A 20,800-nucleotide genomic window follows, 5' to 3' on the forward strand; every position below is an offset into this window, starting at 1 on the left:
TTCAGAAATAAAGATATAATGAAAGACCTTTTTTTTCCACAAGAATAGGTTAAATACATACAATTGGTAAATTATAGAGCAATTCTGAATAAACTGATCAAAAAACGAAGAAAGATGAGCGCGTGCGGGCTGGGCTTGTCTCACGCCCGCCTCCGGACAGGGTGGGTTTCTTGCCGGCGGCCGTGCCCCACCTCGACGCGATGCACCTGCGGTACATCCCACCCAGGCGAAGTCACGGAACAGACGCAGAAGAGGGGAGACGGCCGAGACCCGGGGAGCCACGCGGCCCGAAACAGCCCCTGCTGGCTCTGGCGTCTTTCCGGGCCGGGGTGCCCCTCTGCCATGTTCCGTGGACAGCGAACACCCGGGCCGGAGCCATTACCTACTGTGAAGGCCAGCGCAGGGGGCACGGGATGTGAGGGAGGCCCCCGAGTGCACGGGGCCTTCTGCAGGGACTCCGGTCCTCCGCCTTCCACCAGCATAGGAGGACGGGCTTCTGGCCCACCGGACATAAGGAATTCAGAGAAAAGGCTCTGCAGGTACCCAAGGCCCCCCAGCCTGCAGCACCGAGGGGCGCCCAGGAGGCCCGGCCTGCGGAGGGCACCGGCAGCCCCCGCCCCGCTCGCGGCCGCCGCAGTCAAGGGCGACTTGTGGTTGGAGTGAGCAGGCTCCTGGCTTCCAGGGCAGCAAAAACCCCCAAGCACTTTCTAGAAGGAATGTGTTTCATTCTGACTGTAAACACATTTGTAAATGCTGAGACCAAACCCCGACTTATGGATCCTGAGCCACGGCCGTCACTGGCCCCGCTAAGCCTCATCACCACACGGCCAGGCCAGACCAGCACCCGCGGACGCCAGCTCCACCCCTGGGCCCCGAGGTTCCCACCCGCTGAGGAGCCGGGAGCTCCGAGAAACGCGCCAGGAGCTCCAAGAACGCAGGAGCAGCCCGCGGTCGGCAGCAAGTTTGCATTTCTAAGTGACCACATCTAATAAAATGAAAAACGGGTTTACTAAAACAGGTCCAAAGACAACACGGAAGATAAGCTACAAATCCAGCACACAAGGCCCACCCACACCAGCCCCAGCGGCCCGTGGCCAGGACAGGGCTGAGGCTCCAGTCTCCTCCAAAGCCCAGTCACACATTTTGGTTTTTGCTTCCCCTTTCAGGTTTTTAAAAGCTAAACCTAGGAGCCTGGTGGGTCTGCCTGTGCTGGGCAGTGTGTCCAGCCTGCCGAGGTCACGCTCTGGTGCGCGGTGCCCTCAGTGGCGCCTTGGGTCTCGGCGCCTGGGCCTCACTCCTGCGCGATGCTCCTCAGCACGTACTTGACCGTGTAAGCAAAGGCTGCAAACCCAACTATCACAAACAAGTTCGCCAGGGCGCCACCCAGGAGTCCGTGGTGCCGGTTGGCCTGCTGGAGCCCTGCGAGGTTTGGGACGGCCCCCGGCGCATGCCCGTTGAGCAGCTGAATCCCGTTCTGGACGAGGTGCGTCTCCCCGTCTGGAACCACGTCTGGCAAGGGGAGAGTCTGGGGTCTGCTACTGAGTTCGTCTTGTGCTTTCTGTTTTTGTTTAATCTCCTAAGAGAAAAACAGCGAGAAAAGCAGCTGGTCTCCAACCAGCGCCTTTCAGGACCAGCACTCCCGTTCTCAGGAGTCCACGGTCCACCACCAAGAACCAAGCCCTAGGCTGTGTCAAATTCCGACCCCATCTCACAGGTGAGGGCCCGAGCGTGGCCGGCCTCACTGGCCCTGTGCCCCTTGGCCCCTGCACTCAGGCAGACCAGAGCAAGGCTGAGCCACAGAGGCCAAGACCAGGGAGCACTCCAGTCCCAGTCCCACATGGCAGCCGCTGTGCCTCCCAGCTATCCCCAGACACCACCCAGCTGGCTGCTCAGAACCACGAGCTCCACGCCCCTGTGGGACAGGCCCAGCCCCCGGCCCACCAGCACAGCTGTCCGCAGGCCACCCCCCAGAGCCCAGGCTTTCTGCCTCCCCTGCCTCGGGGCTCCTGGGGGAGAGGAGCCATCCCCTGGGGAGGTCTGCAGCTTCAGGACACAGATTTTACTCTTTGGAAAGAGGTGAAACTCAAGTGTTTTAACGCAGGGGAAGGCGAAACCCACTTCCGTCTTTCTTACCTCCACGACTTCAGGAAATAATTCACAAAAGACTTTATCTTTCAAATTAAATGCTAAACTCTGCACTGCCAGTTGTCTTTTCTAGGAAGGAAGGGAAGGGAATCAGCCAGAAAACTAATTTCAATTCTTTCAAGATTCTAAAAACAGATGATTTCAAAGTCAAGGGCTGCAGTCTTCGTGTTGCAGAAAGCATTTAATAAGCACACTCTTCACAGCAAACTAACTTATAGTCTTACAAAGCCTTCTTAATCTTCCCCCCATCAATTCATGATATCACACTTGATTCCTATTAAAGACAGGGAAAAACAAGCCACCAAAGCACCGGGCTCCCCGCTGACAAGGCCCGGGCCGTCTGTGCAACTGGTACCGCCTTGGCCCACCCCAAGATCCCAAGGAGGAGCCCCTGGCGGGTGTGGATGAGGCTGGATGTGGATAAAAGCAAGACCGAGAGGCAGCGGGGAACACGAGGCCACAGAGCAAAGCAGTCTCCACGACAGTGCCTGGGACAAGGTGGGAACTCCACCCAGCCCCGCCTACTGAGAAGAAAGGCAGCTGCGGCCGGGCGCGGTGGCTCACGCCTGTAATCCCAGCACTTTGGGAGGCCCAGGCGGGCGGATCACGAGGTCAGGAAATCAAGACATCCTGGTTAACACGGTGAAACCCCGTCTCTACTAAAAATACAAAAAAAAAAATTAGCCGGGCGTGGTGGCGGGCGCCTGTAGTCCCAGCTACTTGGGAGGCTGAGACAGGAGAATGGCGTGAACCCCGGGGGGCGGAGCTTGCAGTGAGCCGAGATTGCGCCACTGCACTCCAGCCTGGAGACACAGCGAGACTCCGTCTCAAGAAAAAAAAAAAAAAAAAAAAAAAGGCAGCTGCAACTCAGGAACAGAGAACAGCCCCCCAGACACAAGGCTGACGGCCCACCAGGGAGAGGCTCTAAAACTTACCGTGAAGTCCGACGTCTCTATACTGCCCAGGGTGGGGCCCTTCTCCACCATGAAGCTCAGGAGCCCAGTCAGGATGGTGGAGACAGACCAGGCCGGGTTCCACGTGTCCGGGTGGAAATCCGTGATAGAAAGACACAGCCTGCAAAACGGGGGCCCCGTCAGTGCACACTCCCCACCGCAGCCAGAAAGCCTCCGCGGCCCCTCCAGGCACCTTACCTGGTGTTGCACTTAAACCTCCCGTTGGGAGTGATCATATAGATACTGGGAGGTTTGAAAGGAAATTCTCTGGGAAAAATTAGTTTTCCATGATAATAGCCACCTACATGGAAACAAAACAGAAAGGGCCTTGTCGTCCGCCACAGCAGGGGCTCCTGGAGACCTCGTCCCCATCCCCCCACGCCACCCCCCCCCCCCCCCTCAGCTCGGCTCCCGAGTCCTCATTGCACTCTCCGTCCCCAGCCGGCTCCCAGGCTCAGTCCCCCACTGACCTTGCTCTCCACTACCACCCACTGTCATGACCACCCAGACCCAATGCCCCTCCCCACCCCACCTGTACCCACCACCCGACTGGACCCAGACCCCCACTGCCCCGGGAGCTCGAGACAACCACAGCTACTGCACACCCCTCTCCCTGGAGTGTCCACACACACCCCCACCAGGAGCAGAGGGGTCGGAAGAGGCATGCAGGGCCTCCTTGCAACACCCCCAGCACAGCAGGAGCTCCAGGCCCAGCTGAGGCCGCCCCTCTCAGGACTCAGGTCCAGACCCAGCGACTCTCCAGCACCGTTTGCTTCCCCGACCCAACTGCACCCAAAGGCCAGCAAAACGCACCTCAAACACACCACTCTCCACCACACACCCCTCCAAGTTCTGCCAAATGCCCCCTGCCCTGACCTGATCCCCTGGATTCGGGCCTCATTCATGGCTCTTCACACGTCCTCCCCTCCCAAGCTCTCAAATCCACCTGACCAGGCTTTCTCCCTGCTCTACCAAACCTGACCTGAAGATCGACCTCAGGGTCACCCACACGTTCCCACTTTTTTTTGTTTTGTTTTGTTTTTTTTTTGAGACAGAATCTTGCTCTGTCGCCCAGGCTGGAGTGCAGTGGCTCGATCCTGGCTCACTGCAACCTCTGCCTCCCAGGTTCAAGTGATTATTCTGCCTCAGCCTCCTGAGTAGTTGGGACTATAGGCGCGCGCCACCACACCCAGCTAATTTTTTTTTTAATTTTAGTAGAGACGGGGTTTCACCGTGTTAGCCAGGATGGTCTCTATCTCCTGACCTCATGATCCGCCCGCCTCGGCCTCCCAAGGTGCTGGGATTATAGGCGTGAGCCACCTCCCCCAGCCATACCACTGGTTTCTGACCACCCAACGGCATAGCCTTATAAGGGGCCACTCCTGGCTCCGCCTCTCCAAAGCCCCACCCTGGTCTAGCTCCTCCACTCCCCACCCCCTCTTCCCACTCCAGCCAGCCCCTCTTCGCCCACCCAAGCACAGGGTGCTCTCCTCTCAGTCCTGGCATCCTCCTGGGGTCGCCCTAGTTTCACGGCCTCCCATCAGGAGCCCTGCAATGGCTGCTCAGCCACTTCCCCCACCCTGCACCCACGGGCCCTGTGCACACTCCAGGCCACTACACTGACCGTCCACAGCACAGCGCCCAGACGCCCCCATCCAGGACAGAAATCCGGCCACTTCCACCAAATGGCAACTTGGCAACTCCATCCTCCTGGTATCACACCCACTCCATGAGCAAATCCTGTTGGCCCCACCTTCAAATCAATCTAGAGCCGCACACCCTGTGTGGCTTCCCCTGGCCCTGCTCCCAGGCCCTCTATGAGCTGCCTCATGGCAGCCCCGCCCCAGCCCGAGGCCCACACGCTGGCTGCCCAGGCTGCACCTGGAGTTGGTTGGAAATTCAGAGCTTGGGGCCAACCCCAACCAGAGGACCACAAGTGCACAAGCCAGGACTCCCTGGCCACACCTGCATGCGTTGACGTGTGTGTGCATGCCATCAGGACGCGTGTGTGCGTGTCTGAGTGTGTGCATGCCATCAGGACGCACGTGTGTGCATGTGTGTGTGCATGCCATCAGGACGCACGTGTGTGCATGTGTGTGCATGCCATCAGGACGCACGTGTGTGCATGCCATCAGGACGCGTGTGTGCGTGTCTGAGTGTGTGCATGCCATCAGGACGCACTTGTGTGCATGTGTGTGTGTATGCCATCAGGACGCATGTATGTGCGTGTCTGCATGCCATCAGGACACGTGTGTGTGCATGTGTATGTGCATGCCATCAGGACGCGTGTGCACGTGCGTGCCATCAGGACGCATGGGCGTGGGCATGTGTGTGCGTGCCATCAGGACACGTGCATGCGTGTGTATGCGTGTGCATGCCATCAGGTTTGAGGAGCACTGGCCTCTGTCCTCCCTTGGGCTCCCTGTGCACAGCCCTGCCCCAATGCGAGTCCCCAAATCGCCACGGGCTCTTCTGCTCTAGACCCACCCTGTGTAGGATGCAGCACCCCTGCCCCTCGAGTGCTTTACATCTTGCAGGAACGCTCATCATCTTAGGCCGCCTCGGCATCCACTCTGAATCTAGGCTGGACTTTCTCTGACCAGAAGCGGGGCTGCCACCCGCAACAATTTTCAGTTCACATCCCCCTTCCTCGAGCTGATCCACCCAGACGCCCGCCCTACGCACTGTCCCCTGGTGACCACCCCCCATGTCCCCACGGACCCCACGCCCCACATGGACTGTGCAGCCACACCACGGAGTCCCCCACAGTCACAGCGTGGCCCCACGGGGCTCGTGCCCGCTTGTATTAAACCCACCAGTTAAAACTCCCCAAGGGAAACCTGTGTGCAGAACGCCCTGGACCCAATAAAGGGTCGGCCTGGGGGTTCCAGTCTCTCTCCACTTTCCCTGGCCTCCCTGCATGTGTGGCCTCCCGCACGTGTTTCCCTCGTGTCTCTCTCTTGATCACTAGGGGCTGCTCTCCCTCCCATAGATCCTAAATGAAAACACGGCTTCACTGTCTGCCTCCCCTGAAGACACACATGGCCAAGCAGGGGGACGCTGCAGCTTCCTCTCTGCACTCTGCTCAGGGCTGGCATTCGAGGACACGCAGGAACAGGGGTGGAGTCAACAGTGGAGGGACGGCATGAGCAAGTGCCACTGTCACCCATCCTGGCGTGCGGCCACATCCACCAGGGAGAGGCGAAGCCCAGGAATGACACCCAGAAGACACAAGAGATCATAAGGAAAGGCCAAACTGGAAAGTGAGTGAAAGAAACAGGCTTGCTTAAAAGAGGAAGCGGGAACAGCCAAAGCGAGGCTGGAACGATGTTTAGCTCGGTGCTAATGGGCAAGAGTGACTTACACGGCAGGAAACAGCCAGTTGAGCGCAGAGGGTGCTGGGAGATGGACACCCTGCTGCCTCACTGCGTGCGCACACCTGTCGGGATGGGAGACGGGCGCCCTGCTGCCTCACTGCGCGCACACCTATCGGGAAGCCCCAGACGGCTATCCCACTGCTTGTCACCCGCCAGAGAAACCCAAGACAAAGGCACCAAGAGCCACACACACACAGACGTTCACAGCACCAGATGAAAATCAGGAAGCACCCACTTGTCCTGAAGTGGGTCCCTGGCAGCTTGAACATCCCCACACCCCAGGCCATCTGCTGAAAAGCCTGAGGCAAAGGCCTAGCTGGCTACTCTGCCCCATGGCCTGTCCCTCCTCTACCACTGCCTGACCCTCATCACTGGGGTAAGTCTTGAAACCACAGACTCCACTTCATTCTTTAGAAAAATGGTTTTAACTGTTCTAGGTCCTTTGCCTTTGCATGTAGCTTGTGTAGTATAAAAAACTGAGATTTTGTTAGGACTGTGTGAAATCTACAGATTCACTCAAGGGGAATGATTTAGCAACATTTGTAGGAAGCCAGCTCTGAACTGTCAGAGTGGGCACGCCTGGGCAGCACCAGGGGCAGAACAGCCACGGAACCCAGTGCACGGAGGGGACGCAGCTAATGCACAGGCAGGAAAAGGGGTCAGAAATCCCGAAGTCAGGAAGGAAGCTGTCGTCAGCAGCATCAGATACCAGAGGCTAAGAAACTGAGGACTGAGAACAGCCCCTCGGCAAGTGGCAATTCGGAGGGGTTCCCTGGAGACCCTGAAGGAGAGCAGAGGGCAGGGCTGCAGAGAGCAAAAGGCATCCCCCAGTGAGGGGGAGGTCCGCGGGGACGGGAGCAGCAGTGCCATAGAGGGAAATGGGAGGGGCAGTAGGAACACACATTCTCTCTCTGAAGGGAGGCTTTCCTGAGACCCAGGACCAGCACAGAGCCACACACGGTTGTGGGGAACAACGGAAGCGATGGGAGGGGACCAAGATAAAAGCACAAGTGACAGGGTTGGGGCTGGCAACGGCCGCACCACACCCAGGGGCTGCCCCCTCTTCTCCCAACTGTGTCCAGCCCTGTTGGGGGAGCAGCTCATCTCCACCAGCAACTGACCTAGCTGGTGAAGTTGAGGGAGACTGGGTGTGGATACAGAATTAATATTCACTATTTATTTTTAAAAAACTAAAACCACAAAACAAACAAAAAAAATGTAAAGCTGGCATAATTTTGCTTGTCAAAGACCACCACCCATTTTGGTTTTTTTTTTTTTTTTTGAGATGGAGTTTTGATCTTGTCACCCAGGGTGGAGTGCAGCGATCTCGGCTCACTGCAAGCTCCGCCTCCTGGGTTCAAGCGATTCTCCTGCCTCAGCCTCCTGAGTAGCTGGGACTACAGGGCCCCACCACCACGCCCAGCTAATTTTTTGTATTTTTTTAGTAGAGACAAGGTTTCACCGTATTAGCAAGGATGGTCTGGATCTCCTGACGAGTTTCACTCTTGTCACCCAGGCTGGAATACAACGGCACGACCTCGGCTCACTGCAACCTCCGCCTCCCGGGTTCAAGTGATTCTCCTGCCTCAGCCTCCCGAGTAGCTGGGATTATAGGCATGCACTACCACACCCGGCTAATTTTGTATTTTTAGTAGAGATGGGGTTTCTCCGTGTTGGTCAGGCTGGTCTCGAACTCCTGACCTCAGATGATCCGCCCACCTCAGCCTCCCAAAGTGCTGGAATTACAGGCGTGAGCCACCGCGCCCGGCCGACCACTACTCACTCGGTGGTATATATTCTTCAGATCAGCTGAAGGCACACACACGCATCGTAACAAGTACTTTAACACGCCCTGGACACCTGCTCCCGGGCCTTATCTCACCACGGCCTGCTGGCATCCCCAACGCTGGTCATGGGCAATGACACGATGATGGAGGGCCCACCCTACAGATGTACTCCCGCACTCTGGCTGCCCTAGTTGCAGATGATCCAGAACTGGGATTCCTGGGCCAAAGGAGAGTCCACAGGTGTGGCTGTGTTAACTCGGCCAAAATGCCTTCAGGAGAGCCTTTTTCATTCTTACCCACCCACAACCCTCCCGACAGTCCAAAGCAGGGGTTGCAAACCTTCTTCTAGCAGCAGCACTCTCTTCTAGTGAAATCTCATCCAAAGCCTCCACACACAGGCAAACAGAGCCTGCTGCTCCAGCCACCTGAAGCCGGGGCCCTGTGGCTGGACAGCAACTGCTGACCTGGCCCTGCTCTGCCTTGTGCTTGCCGGCGGGACAGTATTCACGGGCACACTGACTACTGACCTGGTCCAGATCGAGGCTGGCGCCAGCCTCCGCCAAAGGCCCCAGAAACTTACTGACAGCTCCAGCATCTTCTCTATAAATGACACTAGGTCTCTAGGTGGTGTCTGCTGACCTGGAGGGGTCAGGCTGCTGGATCAGCCTTGGTAGTCGATGAAGGGCTGAGGTGCTGGACAGGTCCTGCAGCCTACCGAAGCCCCAGGTGCCACCACACAGGGGTACTTCCACTTAGCTCAGAGACCGTCCTGGGGATTGCGAAACCCTGGGGGCGCCCAGCACAGAAGGCACACTGAATAACTGAATATATGTGCCTTTCCTTTGATGATATGCACTGGGTCTTAAGAAATAGTAGAACAGGCCAGCTTCAGTGTTTACCCCGGTCTGGTTTTCTCAGCTATGGCCCTATGGTGTCAGAGGCTGGTGAACACAGACGCTACAGGCGGCCCTGCAGGCTGAGACACATCAGCAGAGCAAACACTTCCAGCGTGTGGAGAAGCAGACGAGGAGGAGTTCCAACTAAGCCAATTTAACTAGCACACATCCAAAGTAGAAAGGCTGCTGTTTGCAAATAAAAGATGTTGAACAGGCAAGGCTGACTGAGAATATAAAAACCGCCTGGTGTTCTTCTCCTAAGCACAGAATCCTTACCTTCATAAGGGGTCATCTCTGGGCCTCGGACGACATAGTGCCTAAGGGAGAGAAGAAAATTACTTGGGATTTGAGGACAGCAAATTCTCCAAAATCTGAATCATTCCAAGCCTGGGGTTTATAGAACCCAGCCAAAATTACATTCACATTCAGGCAGTGAACAAATGAAGGTGAAATGTCACACAGCCACACGGCTTCAAAACCCCCGTCTCTTCTACCGTGGGTGCTTTTAGTCTCTTGTAACAGGATCTTAGAGACTATACTTTATAAGTTTACCATAAAGTACCTTTGTTTCGACAATATAACATGCACGAAGCTCATCTTAATAATAACTGAAATCTTAAATAAATTTTAATTTCACAGTACATTACTAAGATGTACTTGAAGACTGTAATCCCAGCACTTTGGGAGGGCACGGTGGAAGATCGCTTGAGCCCAGGAGCTTGACACCAGCCTAGGCAACATAGCAAGACCCCACCTTTATTTAAAAAAAAAAAGTTAGCCGGGTGTGGTAGTGCATGCCTGCAGCCCGCCTACTCAGGAGGCTGAGGCGGGAGGATCACTTGAGCCCAGGAGTTTAAGGCTGCAGTGAGCTATGATTGTGCCACCACATCCCATTTGGGCAACAGAGTGAGACCCTATCTCCAAAGAAAAAACGATGTACTTTGAAATGTATATTCTTAAATGTACTTATATATAATGTGTTTTTTGATATCACACATGCAGGCTAAACAGAACACAGCTAGTGATGCGGGGCCGGCTCGGTACCCCCAGCCCTTTCTCGTGCTCCTGGAAAAACCATAAGTGACTTGAGCAGCTGTCCTGGAGCAGAAGGAACAGGAACTGCCGTGATTGTGTCCAAAGCCACAGTCCCCACACAGAGCTCACCCTCAGACCAGGGGCAGCAGCAAATCGACTAAACACTCCTCCACACAAATAAATAAGGCTTCTGCTTTACGTAAAGAAGTGTCTGGGCTTTACAGATTCCCAAACGAAACAGAAGAGCACAGAGAAGAAAGTAAAACCAGCTAGAAATGCCAGAAACCAGACATGGCTTCAACTGCCAACACCGGCCAACACCGGCCATCATCTTTCCCCTTGCTCTGCCCCAGGACATGTGTGCCATCACTTTAAAACTAATGGGGGCTGGGCTCGGTGGCTCATGCCCGTGATCCCAGCACTCTGGGAGGCCAAGGTGGGTAGATCACCTGAAGTCAGGAATTCGAGACCAGCCTGGTCAACATGGCGAAACTCCGTCTCTACTAAAAATACAAAAATTAGGCCAGGTGCGGTGGCTCACACCTGTAATCCCAGCACTTTGGGAGGCTGAGGCAGGTGGATTGCCTGAGGTCAGGAGTTCAACACCAGCCTGGGCAACACGGTGAAACCCTGTCTCTATTAAAAATACAAAAATTAGCCAGCCATGGTGGCACACACCTGTAATCCCAGCTACTCAGGAGGCTGAGCCAGGAGAATCGCTTGAACCTGGAAGACGGAGGTTGCAGTGAGCCGAGGTCACACCGCTGCACTCCAGCCTGAGTGACAGAAATAGTACTCAAAAGAAACTACTAATGGGATGACGTATAGTAATGTATACTAATGGGATGATGTATCAGCAGAGCCAGCTGGTATGTTTTACTCAAAAAATGCCATTATCATGTGTCATTGACCCAGGAACCCAGTGGCTCTGAGCTCAGCACGCGATGCACCCAGGAATGTGGCCTTACGTTGTTACTGTGCCCAACCTGCGAAAACTGGGAAGAAATGAAGAAGTCATCCTCTTCCTGAGACAGAGCCCAGCAGCCTTGGGGCGGCTGAGAGAAGATGGGATCCACGTGGCCCATAGCGCACCCCACAGGCCTTTTCTGGGAAAGCAGTCTTCTCTCGGGGAAGGGAGAGACACCTGCCGAGGACCTGCCAGGGGCTCTCGCACTGACGCTGCTGTCCTTAATGCCTCAACAGTACAGGCAACATGGGCTACGCTGAGCCCCTGCTCTCCTGGAAGTCTGGTATTTTGGTATTTTGGCAGGTGCCAGGCAGAGGGTGCCTAGGACCAGCCCCATAAAGTCCCTGGGCCTTCCCCTAATGTTTTAGTTTCCAATGAGTTTCTCTGCTCAACATTCCACACATGCCGTCCAAACCCAAGCCTGCTGCTGGGAATGGAGCACAGAGACTTTGCCCCACATGCCTCTTCCGCTGGCTGACTGCAGTTTTCTCTCGTGTGTGTGTGTGTGTGTGTGTGTGTGTTTTCTCTCCATTGTGTGTGTGTGTGTGTGTGTGTGTGTGTGTGTGTGTGTGTGTGTGGTGGAGTCTCACTCTGTCGCCAGGCTGGAGTACAGTGGTGCGATCTCAGCTCACTGCAACCTCCGCTTCCCGGGTTCAAGCGATTCTCCTGCCTCACCCTCCCAAGTAGCAAGTAGCTGAGATTACAGGCGTGCGCCACCATACCGGGCTAATTTCTGTATTTTCAGTAGAGACAGGGTTCCACCATGTTGGCCAGGCTGGTCTCAATCTCCTGACCTTGTGATCCACCCACCTCGGCCTCCCAAAGTGCTGGGATTACAGGCATGAGCCACTGTGCCTGGACTTCTCTCCGTAATTTTAATGGTGAGTATTCTTTGTGAATCATCGAACCTGCACCGGGACTTGGGGACGCCTGACCCACAGATTTGTGGGGAGGGATTTCCCCACACAATGAAGACGTCCTCGCAACCAGCGAGGAGGCGGCTACCGTGGAACTTGTCCCTCTCACCTGCCAGCGATGTCCTGGGGCCACATGTGATTTTCAACACTGGGGGCAGAGAGCACTCTGGTGGCCAAGGGGCTCCGCCTCACCCTGGGTATCCTCCGCCTGCCTGGGCTGGGCCTCCTCTGTGAGCCAGAGAAGGTGGACCCCTGACCAAGCCGAAACACATTTCCTTTCAACTCACTGAAATATCTTTTCTCTGGAATTAAAAAAAATTAGGCCAGGCATGGTGGCTCAAGCCTGTAATCCCAGCACTTTGGGAGGCTGAGGCAGGCAGATCACCTGAGATAAGGAGTTCGAGACCAGCCTGACCAATATGGTGAAACCCCATCTCTAAGGCAGGAGAATTGCTTGAACCAGGGAGGCGGAGGTCACAGTGAGCCGAGATCACGCCATTGCACTCCAGCCTGGGCGACAGAGCAAGACTCTGTCTCAAAAAAATAAATAAGGCCGGGCGTGGTGGCTCACGCCTGTAATCCCAGCATTCTGGGAGGCCAAGGCGGGCGGATCACGAGGTCAGGAGATCAAGACCATCCTGGCTAACACGGTGAAACCCCGTCTCTACTAAAAATACAAAAACAAAAAATTAGCCGGGCATGGTGGCAGGCGCCTGTAGTCCCAGCTACTTGGGAAACTGAGGCCAGAGAATGGCATGAACCCGGCAGGCAGAGCTTGCAGTGAGCCGAGATTGTGCCACTGCACTCCAGTCTGGGTGACAGTGCAAGACTGTCTCAAAAAATAATAATAAGTAATTTTTTTTTAAAAGATCAAAATATAAAACATCCTTACATTTTATTTTATTTTATTTTATTTTGAGACAGAGTTTCGCTCTTGTTGCCCAGGTTGGAGTGCAGTGGTGTGATCTCAGCTCACTGCAAGCTCCGCCTCCCGGGTTCAAGCGATTCTCCTGCCTCGGCTTCCCGAGTAGCTGGGACTACAGGTGTGCGCCATCATGCCCAGCTAATATTTGTATTTTTAGTAGAGACAGGGTTTCACCATGTTGACCAGGCTGGTCTCGAACTCCTGACCTCAGGTGATCCGCCCGCCTGAGCCTCCCAAAGTGCTGGGATTACAGGTGTGAGCCACCATGCCCGGCCTCTCACACTTTATTTCTTACCAAATTACTAGCAGACCTGTAATGGCAGTGTTTCGACAGAGCAGTATGCACTCTCACACTCTATACTTCAGCAAGGGGGAGAGTCACCATGAGGTGAATGCTTATGAGGCACAGGTCCTCTCGTTGTCAGCCTGAGGGTCGGGGCACCTGGCCCAAGCCAGTGCCAGGGACAGGAGTGTCGGACCCTAGTCCTGTCAAATACTCCAAGCCAAAACAGGCTAATTCCCATATCCAGAAGCAAAGAGCAGAGTCTAGAAAGGCAGTTTCTCCTCTAAGTGCCTAGAGTGCACACCAGCAACAGCTGTGAACCCTGCATACCTGGACCCCTCCCCTAAGGACCCCACACCAGAGACTCTCTCCAGCCCCAACCTGAGTCAACCTGGACCCCGCCCCCCTCAAGGGCCCCACACCGGAGATTCTCTCCAGCCCCAGCCTGAGTCAAGCATGGCTCTGTGATGTCCCCGGCATGCGTCCATTGGGAAAAGACCAGAGAGTGTCCACAGGCCCCTGGGCACCCCACTCACCCCGGGGGAGGGTGCAGGAGCACCTTGCCAATGCCATGACTGGGGCACCAGGCTCGCCCAGCAGGGGCCGGCAGAGGCCTGCGTGGCAGCGACAGTCAGCGCAGGGCGATCAGTGGCGCGGAGCCTTACCACTCGAGAATATTCGAAGGGAGGGGCTCGGCACAGATGTAAGGCACCGGGTCTTTCTTAATGCGAAGGTAGTCCTGCTTCAGCCTCTGGGTTGCCGTGGTCGGAGCCCTCTTACTGCTGGTGCTGCTCATCTGTTAAAAGCAACGTCTACACTGACGACGAGAAGCAGCGCCGGCCACAGCTCTCTCCCCTGGCGCAGCCCCACTCCCGCCTCTGCAGCCCGCCATTCATTCAGGGCCCGGTCACCCAGAGTCACAGCTCACAGGTCACCCTCGCTTGCCACCCGCCCAGACACCCAGAGGCCCTGCGGCTTCTCTCTTCCCGTCTGTCCCGCCACCACCTTCATTGACACGACGTACAGCTCAGGTACAAAGACGAGGAGAAACCCAAAGCCTCGTTCCTGTCCTCCAAAAACTCACGCAGGGATACATTTACAGGGCTTGAGGGGGTATTCGGGCCACAGCCTCAGACCAGCTCCTGAGGGCAGCTACTCGCACCTTCCAACTCAGCTCAAGGACCCCGCACTGATGGAGAATCCACACCATAGAAGTGGGCAGGCACCACCGCCGGCCCCTTCACCGCACCCGGAAGCCCGCTGCCCAGCATTTACCACTAGCCACAAGCAAAACGAGCCGCAGAACGGGGGAGCCTCTGCGGCTGGAGGGACGAGGACTCTGGAGACTCCAAGGCACTCACTGGGCAGAGCAGCTGTCTTCCTGGTAGAAGGGGCCACAGGTGAACAGGCCACACCTGAGAAAGTGCAGTGTGCAAGGGCCCAAGCACAGTGAGGGCAGGGATAAGACTGGCCAGGGAGGCAGGGCCAGGGCATAAGAGTTTATTTACTTATTTTTCGTGAGACAGGGTCTTGCTCTGTCGCCCAGGCTGGAGTCACTGTGGCCTTGACCACCTCGGCTCAAGCAATCCTCCCACCTCAGCCTCCTGAGTAGCTGAGACTACAGACGCATGCCACCACGCCTAGCTAATTTTTTTTTTTTTGTAGAGCTGGGATCTCACTATGTTGCCCAAGGTGGTCTCAAACTCCTGGCCTCAACTGATTCTCAGGCCTCAGCCTCCGGAAGTGCTGGAATCACAGGCAGGAGCCACGGTAACCCGGGCCCCACAGGGGTTTGGGGTCCAAGCCTCAAGGCAGATCATATCTTCTGTTAGGAAAGTCACTCTGGTGGCTCCATTGGGACGTTCAAGACAGCACTGAAGGCCGAGCATGGGGCGCGAGGCACCATGCAAGAGAGGAGGCTGGATCAGGGACCCCAAGGCCCCTCAGCCACACCCGAGACTGGGGAGAGGGGTGGTGATCATCATGCAAGAGAGGAGGCTGGATCAGGGACCCCAAGGCCCCTCAGCCACACCCGAGACTGGGGAGAGGGGTGGTGATCATCATGCAAGAGAGGAGGCTGGATCAGGGACCCCAAAGCCCCTCAGCCACACCCGAGACTGGGGAGAGGGGTGGTGATCATCATGCAAGAGAGGAGGCTGGATCAGGGACCCCAAGGCCCCTCAGCCACACCTGAGACTGGGGAGAGGGGTGGTGATGAAAACAGGGCTCCCTGCTGCATCAGACTAGCTCCAACTCAAACCTTATTTTTTTTTTTTTTTTGAGATAGAATCTCACTGTTCGTTGCCCAGGTTGGAGTGCAGTGGTGTGATCTCCGCTCACTGCAACCTCTGCCTCCTGGGTTCAAGTGATTCTCCTGCCTCAGCCACTCAAGTAGCTGGGATTACAGGTGCCTGCCACCATGCCAAGCAAATTTTTTTTGTATTTTTAGTAGAGACGGGGTTTCACCATGTTGGTCAGGCTGGTCTCGAACTCCTGACCTCAGGTAATCTGCCCACCTCGGCCTCCCAAAGTGCTGGGATTACAGGCGTGAGTCCCCGCGCCCAGCCATGGCCACACGATTTAATAACGTCTGTGGACATCAGTGGCCATCGATAACGGACAGTGACCAGTGATCTCCATCCTGACCTCCCAGTTCCCACAAACCGGAAGTCTACTCTACCCAGTTTCCTTGCTGATATGCTTTGGCTATGTCCCCACCCAAATCTTATATTGACTTGTAATCCCCATAATCCCCCATGTTGAGGGAGGGACCTTGTGGGAGGTGACTGGATCATGGGAGCAGTTTCCCCAAGCCGTTCCAGTGAAAGCGAGTTCTCAGGAGATCTGATGGTTTATAAGGCAGTGTTCCCTGCTCTTGCCCGCTCTCTCTAGCCTGCTGCCATGTGAGACATGCCTCTTCCCCTTCCGCCATGATTGTAAGTTTCCTGAGGCCTCCCTGGCCACACGGAACTGTGAGTCCATTAAACCCCTTTTCTTTATAAATTACTGAGTCTCGGGTACATCTTTATAGCAGCATGAGAACCAACTCATACACCTGTAGACAGCCACACATTCCACCTCCTTTCAGTCTCCACCTGCAAGAGATCTACAGACTTGGCCTCTCTAACCGGTTTATTCCTCCTCAGAGAACCACCACCAGCAGCCTGTTTAGTGTCTGCTCCCAACCTGAGGATGTCAATGGCCAGGGCTTGGCTGCTCACCCCACACACCCAGGGCCTGGAGTGCAGAGCTCAGCCAGGGCACCCAACGCGTGCTCCCAAATGTGTGGCCTCAGCACCACCCCCAACCCTGCTTCTTGTTCTGGGGTCCCTGACTCTTGCAATCCTTGTTCACCACAGCCTTCCCACTCTCATTATCTTCTCTAACGCAAAATGTCATCACTTCTCCCATCAACACCACAGGAGCCTCCCAACTCCCCCCGTGGGTCCAGAAGGTCTGAGCTTCTAGTCTCTTCCCATTTCAAGGCCCTCCTGTACCCATAAGTCAACATACTGTTCCGATCACCCACTCCCCCATCCACCCTTCAGGATACTCCACAGCCAAGCAAATAAACATCAACACGTCCTCTTGCCTGCCAGCCCCTTGACAGAGGCAGCCCCAGCCAGCCCTCCTCATTCCCAGCTCCCAAGACAGAGCAGCCCCAGCCAGCCCTCCTCGTTCCCAACTCCCAAGACCCAGCACGGCCCAGGTCCCACTCCAAAGTCCTGACCGACACACTCCTTCTCACAGCTGCTTCCCAGCCTAGCCTGTACTGGAAACTCCCCAGGCCCTTCCCGGCATAGCCAGAGCCACCGCCTTCAGAGGCCTCCCTGATTTCCCTGCCAAATGCCTCCCACTCTGTCACACATCACTGGCCTCCATGTGACCCCACACACAACGCAGGGCCCTTCTGGGCCCCAGCGGGTTCCTCTGCCTAAGGAGTGCCTCCCCAGGAGGGCCCCCACCAGGGATGGGGTTACAGTCCTGCCTGGGAAGGAAGTGCTTCCACACAGTGGCATCCCCAGCTCCTGGCTAAAGAAGCCAATGGGCCAGGGATCTCCCCTCAGGCCAACACCTGGTGATGGCCACAGTGATGACCCCAAGCAGCACCGCCACACAGGCTGTCCTTTCGACACTCACCCTGAAGCTAACACTCTGCCATATACAAAATAATTCACTGGACAATTCAAGTGCAGGTGGGTCTGGGCTTAGCTAAGTGGCCAGGCCGCAGGTTTAACGAAAGTTCATGGACAGCCGCGCAAAAATAAAATAGATTCCATCCAATGAGTCACAAACAAGCTTCTCTCCCATACCTGCTTGGAGAGGCTTTTAAAATCATGTTCACGATTCAACTGCTGTTTCCCCAGCCACTCTTCCTGAGCTTCACACAGAACAGCATTCTCACGTCCCCCAGGAGGCCAGGGGGCTATTTCCCCCAATTCTTCTCATCCCAATATGACAGCAGGAAGGACAAGGAAAACAAAAATTCACAAAGGGGCTGGGCGTGGTGGCTCACACCTGTAATCCCAACACTTTGGGAGGCCCAGGCAGGCAGATTACCTGAGATCGGGGGTTCGAGACCAGCCTGACCAACATGGTAAAACCCCGTCTCTACTAAAAATACAAAATTAATCAGGCATGGTGGCATGTGCCTGTAATCCCAGCTACTCGGGTGACTGAGGCAGGAGAATCACTTGAATCCAGGAGGTGGAGGCTGTGGTGGGCCAAGATCAAGCCATTGCACTCCAGCCTGGGCAACAAGAGCGAAACTCCGTCTCAAAAAAAAAAAAAAAAAAAAAAAAAAAAAATTAGCCGGGTGTGGTGGTGGGCACCTGCAATCCCAGCTACTCTGGAGGCTGAGGTGGGAGAATTACTTGAACTCGGGAGCCGGAGGCTGTAGTGAACTGAGATCATGTCACTGCACTCTAGCTGGGCCAACAGAGACCCTGTATCAAAAAAAAAAAATTCCACAAAGGAAGCAAACTGTGAGAACAGAGTTTGAAGCATATGTGCCTCGGGTTCCCTTCAAACATCCCCACAGACAAAGGACACCAAGCATATCATCCTGCTGAGAGAAAGAGTTGGCGATTTTAAAACAAAAAGGCACAGGAAAAAAAAATGTTCACACACAGAAACTGCATTAAAGCAGCGTGAATCACCGAGGGCAGCTGTGCCCAGGTGCTGAGGCAGTGGCTGCCCAGCGTCCCTCACCCGTCCCTCTTTGTCTGGACAGCTCTTTCCTGCTTAGGGGATGTGGCAGGAAACCTTGGCCTGACCCATCGGCCAGGCGCATGGCACACCCAGGTCCAGGACTGCCAGGGAAGTCTCTGCCTTCTCCACCAGACTGCTCCGGAGGCTGGACGGAAGCCCGGGCCGATGGAAATGGGACACTCACCTGCGACTCACACATGCACCTGCCTGGGTCACCTGCCTGTCACTCATCCACGCACCTACCTGCCTGGCTCACCTGCCTGTCACTCAAGCACTCACCTACCTGCCTGGCTCACCTGCCTGTCACTCACGCACATCCCTGCCGAGAGTGGAACTGCTAAGGAGGTCAGCGGTGCCAGGCCGTGCAGATGACGGACTGCAAGTTCCGGGCACCCAGACCCAACCACGCCCTAGGCTCAGGTGCTAGACTAAGCGAGATACTCACGATCCTTTCTTCGGAAGCCAGATTACACAGTCTGGTTCCCCTGGAGCAGGGCGCGGGGCCACCGACCTGCCCCAGCCAAGCCCGCTGTACACTCTTCGCTGCCCACCTCCCACCGGGCTGAGGCCCGACCTTTCAGCCGCTTCCTATCTGGGTCTGGCAAGAGGATGGCAACCGGACTAGAGTTAAATACACACGCACTAAGTGGCAGGCACTGAAAAGGACGCCAGGAGGTGACACCTGGCCAGGGGCTGAAAGGATGCAGGGAACTGGCAGGTGTGGATGGCGAGGCCCGGCGCCGCTTAGAGACTTGTTCCGGGCTCGTGTCTCACTCGCCGGCCGGCGGTGGTCTCCCACTGTCACCGCCCGGGTTTCCCAGAAACGCTGGCCCTAAGCACAGTCCCGGGCACGCTCGTTTCTCTCGGGGTTTACGGGGCAGTCTGGAGTCTAACAGTTCAGGGGCGAGGCGACGGCGGGCTCGACGGCAGCCCTCCCCCGACACAGACTCCCGTGATCCACTGACGAACCAGGATCGAGGCTGCCCGTCCTGGGGCAGCTGCAAGTGTCCCAGCTGACGGGAAACCCGGCCGAGTGGTCAAGTCCCCGACATGACCCTGACCCGGAGCTCCGGGAGCCCGCCGTAACCGACCTCGGGTTCCGCGCAGGCAGGCTCGGGCCGGGGCCCCGCGGGCGGCGGGCGCGAACGGAGAAGCGTCGCGCAGGGTCCCCAGCAGCCCCGGGCCGCCGCTGTGGCCGGCTCCGGCAGGGGGGACGAGCGGGCCCGAGGACCCGGCGCAGGCCTGCGAGCGCGCTCACCTCTCCCTGTCGCTGCGCGTGGGCCGCCGCCGCGCTCAGGCTCGCCGTAGTCGAGGCCGGAGCAGGGTGCGGAAAAGCGGGGCCCGCGCCCGAAACAGCCGCACCGCCCCGGGATTGGGCCCACCGAACCCGCCGCAGCGCCGCCGCCGCCGCCTCAGCCTCCAAGATGGCCGCTCGCGGGGCGGAACCAGCCTAGCTTCTGCTTCCGGTGCGCGGTCCGGGGCGGTGAGGAGGGAGGGGGAGGGCTGGCCGCTCTAGGCAGACTGGCGGACCGCGCCCACGACTCTCTGTCGCCGTCGACCCCGGGGTGGGGGATGGGGCGGGGGGCGGGGCGGCGCTTGCGCACTGGCGGGCGGCTCCGGGCACCGTTAGTGGGCGCGAGAGCCCCAGACCCCGAAGCCGCGCGCTTCCCTCCCCATGTGCCACGGCCCAGGGCGGCAGGCCCGGCTGAGGGCGACCCCGGTGGAGAAAGAACCCCGACCCTCCCGCCTCCCGGCTCCCGCCTTGTCCTCCGCTCCCACGCCCCACCCGGCCCTTAGGGGAGGCGCGGCGCGGCCCGGGCATGGAGCGTCCCGGGCCCCTGGAGGCTCAGTGGAGGGTTGGGCTCCAGGGAGCTCAGAGCTCTCTCGTTCAGGGACCCGAGAGTGACACGCGTGGCATCTCTTTGCAACCCACGTCCGCGCCGCAGCACCCTCCCCTGCAGGTGCCTGCCCAGCCCCGGGATGCCCCTGACCTCCCCTTGGACAGACTGCAGAAAGCGCGGGGCGCTGCGTCCTCTCCACCTCTCTCTGACCCCAGACACATTGGGAGAGAGCGGTAGGTGGCGGGGCGCTGGGGTGGGACGCTGGGGGCAGGCGCGCAGCCCACCGCCTCCCTGAGAGGCCGCTGAGGACAGCGGGGAGCTGAGGGTGGTCCCCTGGTGGGGGATCAGGAGGTGGACCTCGCCACCTGGCTGCCTGTGGCCCTCTCCTTTGCCCCAACCCTGACTGCCTCTCAGGAACAACCACAGGTCAGCAAGGTGGCTGAATATTGAGGGTCAGTCCCGC

The 20,800-nt window shown here is 57.0% G+C and overlaps 1 protein-coding gene and 1 long non-coding RNA gene across 15 annotated transcripts in view, besides 7 other annotated features; one reads left to right on the forward strand and one right to left on the reverse strand.

The window, feature by feature from the left end:
• UBE2J2 (ubiquitin conjugating enzyme E2 J2) lies at positions 1–19,943 on the reverse strand. 14 transcript variants are annotated; one of them, NM_194315.2, is made up of 8 exons: positions 19,755–19,943; positions 13,951–14,081; positions 10,872–10,919; positions 9,435–9,475; positions 3,297–3,399; positions 3,081–3,219; positions 2,134–2,214; positions 1–1,576 (listed from the first exon to the last, which is right to left on the reverse strand). In NM_194315.2, exons 2-8 carry the CDS (start codon positions 14,079–14,081, stop codon positions 1,292–1,294), a joined length of 828 nt encoding a protein of 275 aa, NP_919296.1. In that variant the 5' UTR covers positions 19,755–19,943; the 3' UTR covers positions 1–1,291. The 14 variants fall into 14 exon arrangements, with proteins under 14 accessions (NP_919296.1, XP_047300295.1, NP_477515.2 ...); XM_047444339.1 differs by lacking the exons at positions 10,872–10,919; positions 13,951–14,081 and adding an exon at positions 8,358–8,479; NM_058167.3 differs by lacking the exon at positions 10,872–10,919.
• Positions 10,484–11,683: an enhancer, noted in NCBI's record as "BRD4-independent group 4 enhancer chr1:1199775-1200974 (GRCh37/hg19 assembly coordinates)". NCBI's record gives its function as "activates an origin of replication core promoter dependent on BRD2, P300/CBP, MED14 and CDK7 cofactors, and independent of BRD4, by STARR-seq in HCT116 cells {active_cell/tissue: HCT116}" and the evidence as "EXISTENCE:reporter gene assay evidence [ECO:0000049][PMID:35650434]".
• Positions 18,075–18,583: an enhancer, noted in NCBI's record as "H3K27ac-H3K4me1 hESC enhancer chr1:1207366-1207874 (GRCh37/hg19 assembly coordinates)". NCBI's record gives its function as "activates a minimal SCP1, AML or CMV promoter by ChIP-STARR-seq in naive H9 embryonic stem cells {active_cell/tissue: H9 hESC(naive)}" and the evidence as "EXISTENCE:reporter gene assay evidence [ECO:0000049][PMID:30033119]".
• Positions 18,584–19,090: an enhancer, noted in NCBI's record as "H3K27ac-H3K4me1 hESC enhancer chr1:1207875-1208381 (GRCh37/hg19 assembly coordinates)". NCBI's record gives its function as "activates a minimal SCP1, AML or CMV promoter by ChIP-STARR-seq in primed H9 embryonic stem cells {active_cell/tissue: H9 hESC(primed)}" and the evidence as "EXISTENCE:reporter gene assay evidence [ECO:0000049][PMID:30033119]".
• Positions 19,091–19,598: an enhancer, noted in NCBI's record as "H3K27ac-H3K4me1 hESC enhancer chr1:1208382-1208889 (GRCh37/hg19 assembly coordinates)". NCBI's record gives its function as "activates a minimal SCP1, AML or CMV promoter by ChIP-STARR-seq in primed H9 embryonic stem cells {active_cell/tissue: H9 hESC(primed)}" and the evidence as "EXISTENCE:reporter gene assay evidence [ECO:0000049][PMID:30033119]".
• Positions 19,788–20,367: a silencer, noted in NCBI's record as "silent region_49". NCBI's record gives its function as "represses an Ori minimal core promoter by ATAC-STARR-seq in GM12878 lymphoblastoid cells {active_cell/tissue: GM12878}" and the evidence as "EXISTENCE:reporter gene assay evidence [ECO:0000049][PMID:35858748]".
• The window catches only part of LINC01786 (long intergenic non-protein coding RNA 1786), a 6,606-nt gene continuing 5,896 nt past the window's right edge, over positions 20,091–20,800 (forward strand). The window contains exon 1 of the long non-coding RNA NR_185846.1: positions 20,091–20,570. This is a non-coding gene — a long non-coding RNA (long intergenic non-protein coding RNA 1786). The remainder of the gene's footprint in view (positions 20,571–20,800) is intronic.
• Positions 20,528–20,577: a silencer, noted in NCBI's record as "silent region_50". NCBI's record gives its function as "represses an Ori minimal core promoter by ATAC-STARR-seq in GM12878 lymphoblastoid cells {active_cell/tissue: GM12878}" and the evidence as "EXISTENCE:reporter gene assay evidence [ECO:0000049][PMID:35858748]".
• Positions 20,789–20,800: part of an enhancer, noted in NCBI's record as "H3K4me1 hESC enhancer chr1:1210080-1210718 (GRCh37/hg19 assembly coordinates)", that runs on past the window's edge. NCBI's record gives its function as "activates a minimal SCP1, AML or CMV promoter by ChIP-STARR-seq in primed H9 embryonic stem cells {active_cell/tissue: H9 hESC(primed)}" and the evidence as "EXISTENCE:reporter gene assay evidence [ECO:0000049][PMID:30033119]".

Source organism: Homo sapiens, chromosome 1 (genome assembly GCF_000001405.40).
Source record: "Homo sapiens chromosome 1, GRCh38.p14 Primary Assembly".
Lineage (NCBI taxonomy): Eukaryota > Metazoa > Chordata > Mammalia > Primates > Hominidae > Homo > Homo sapiens.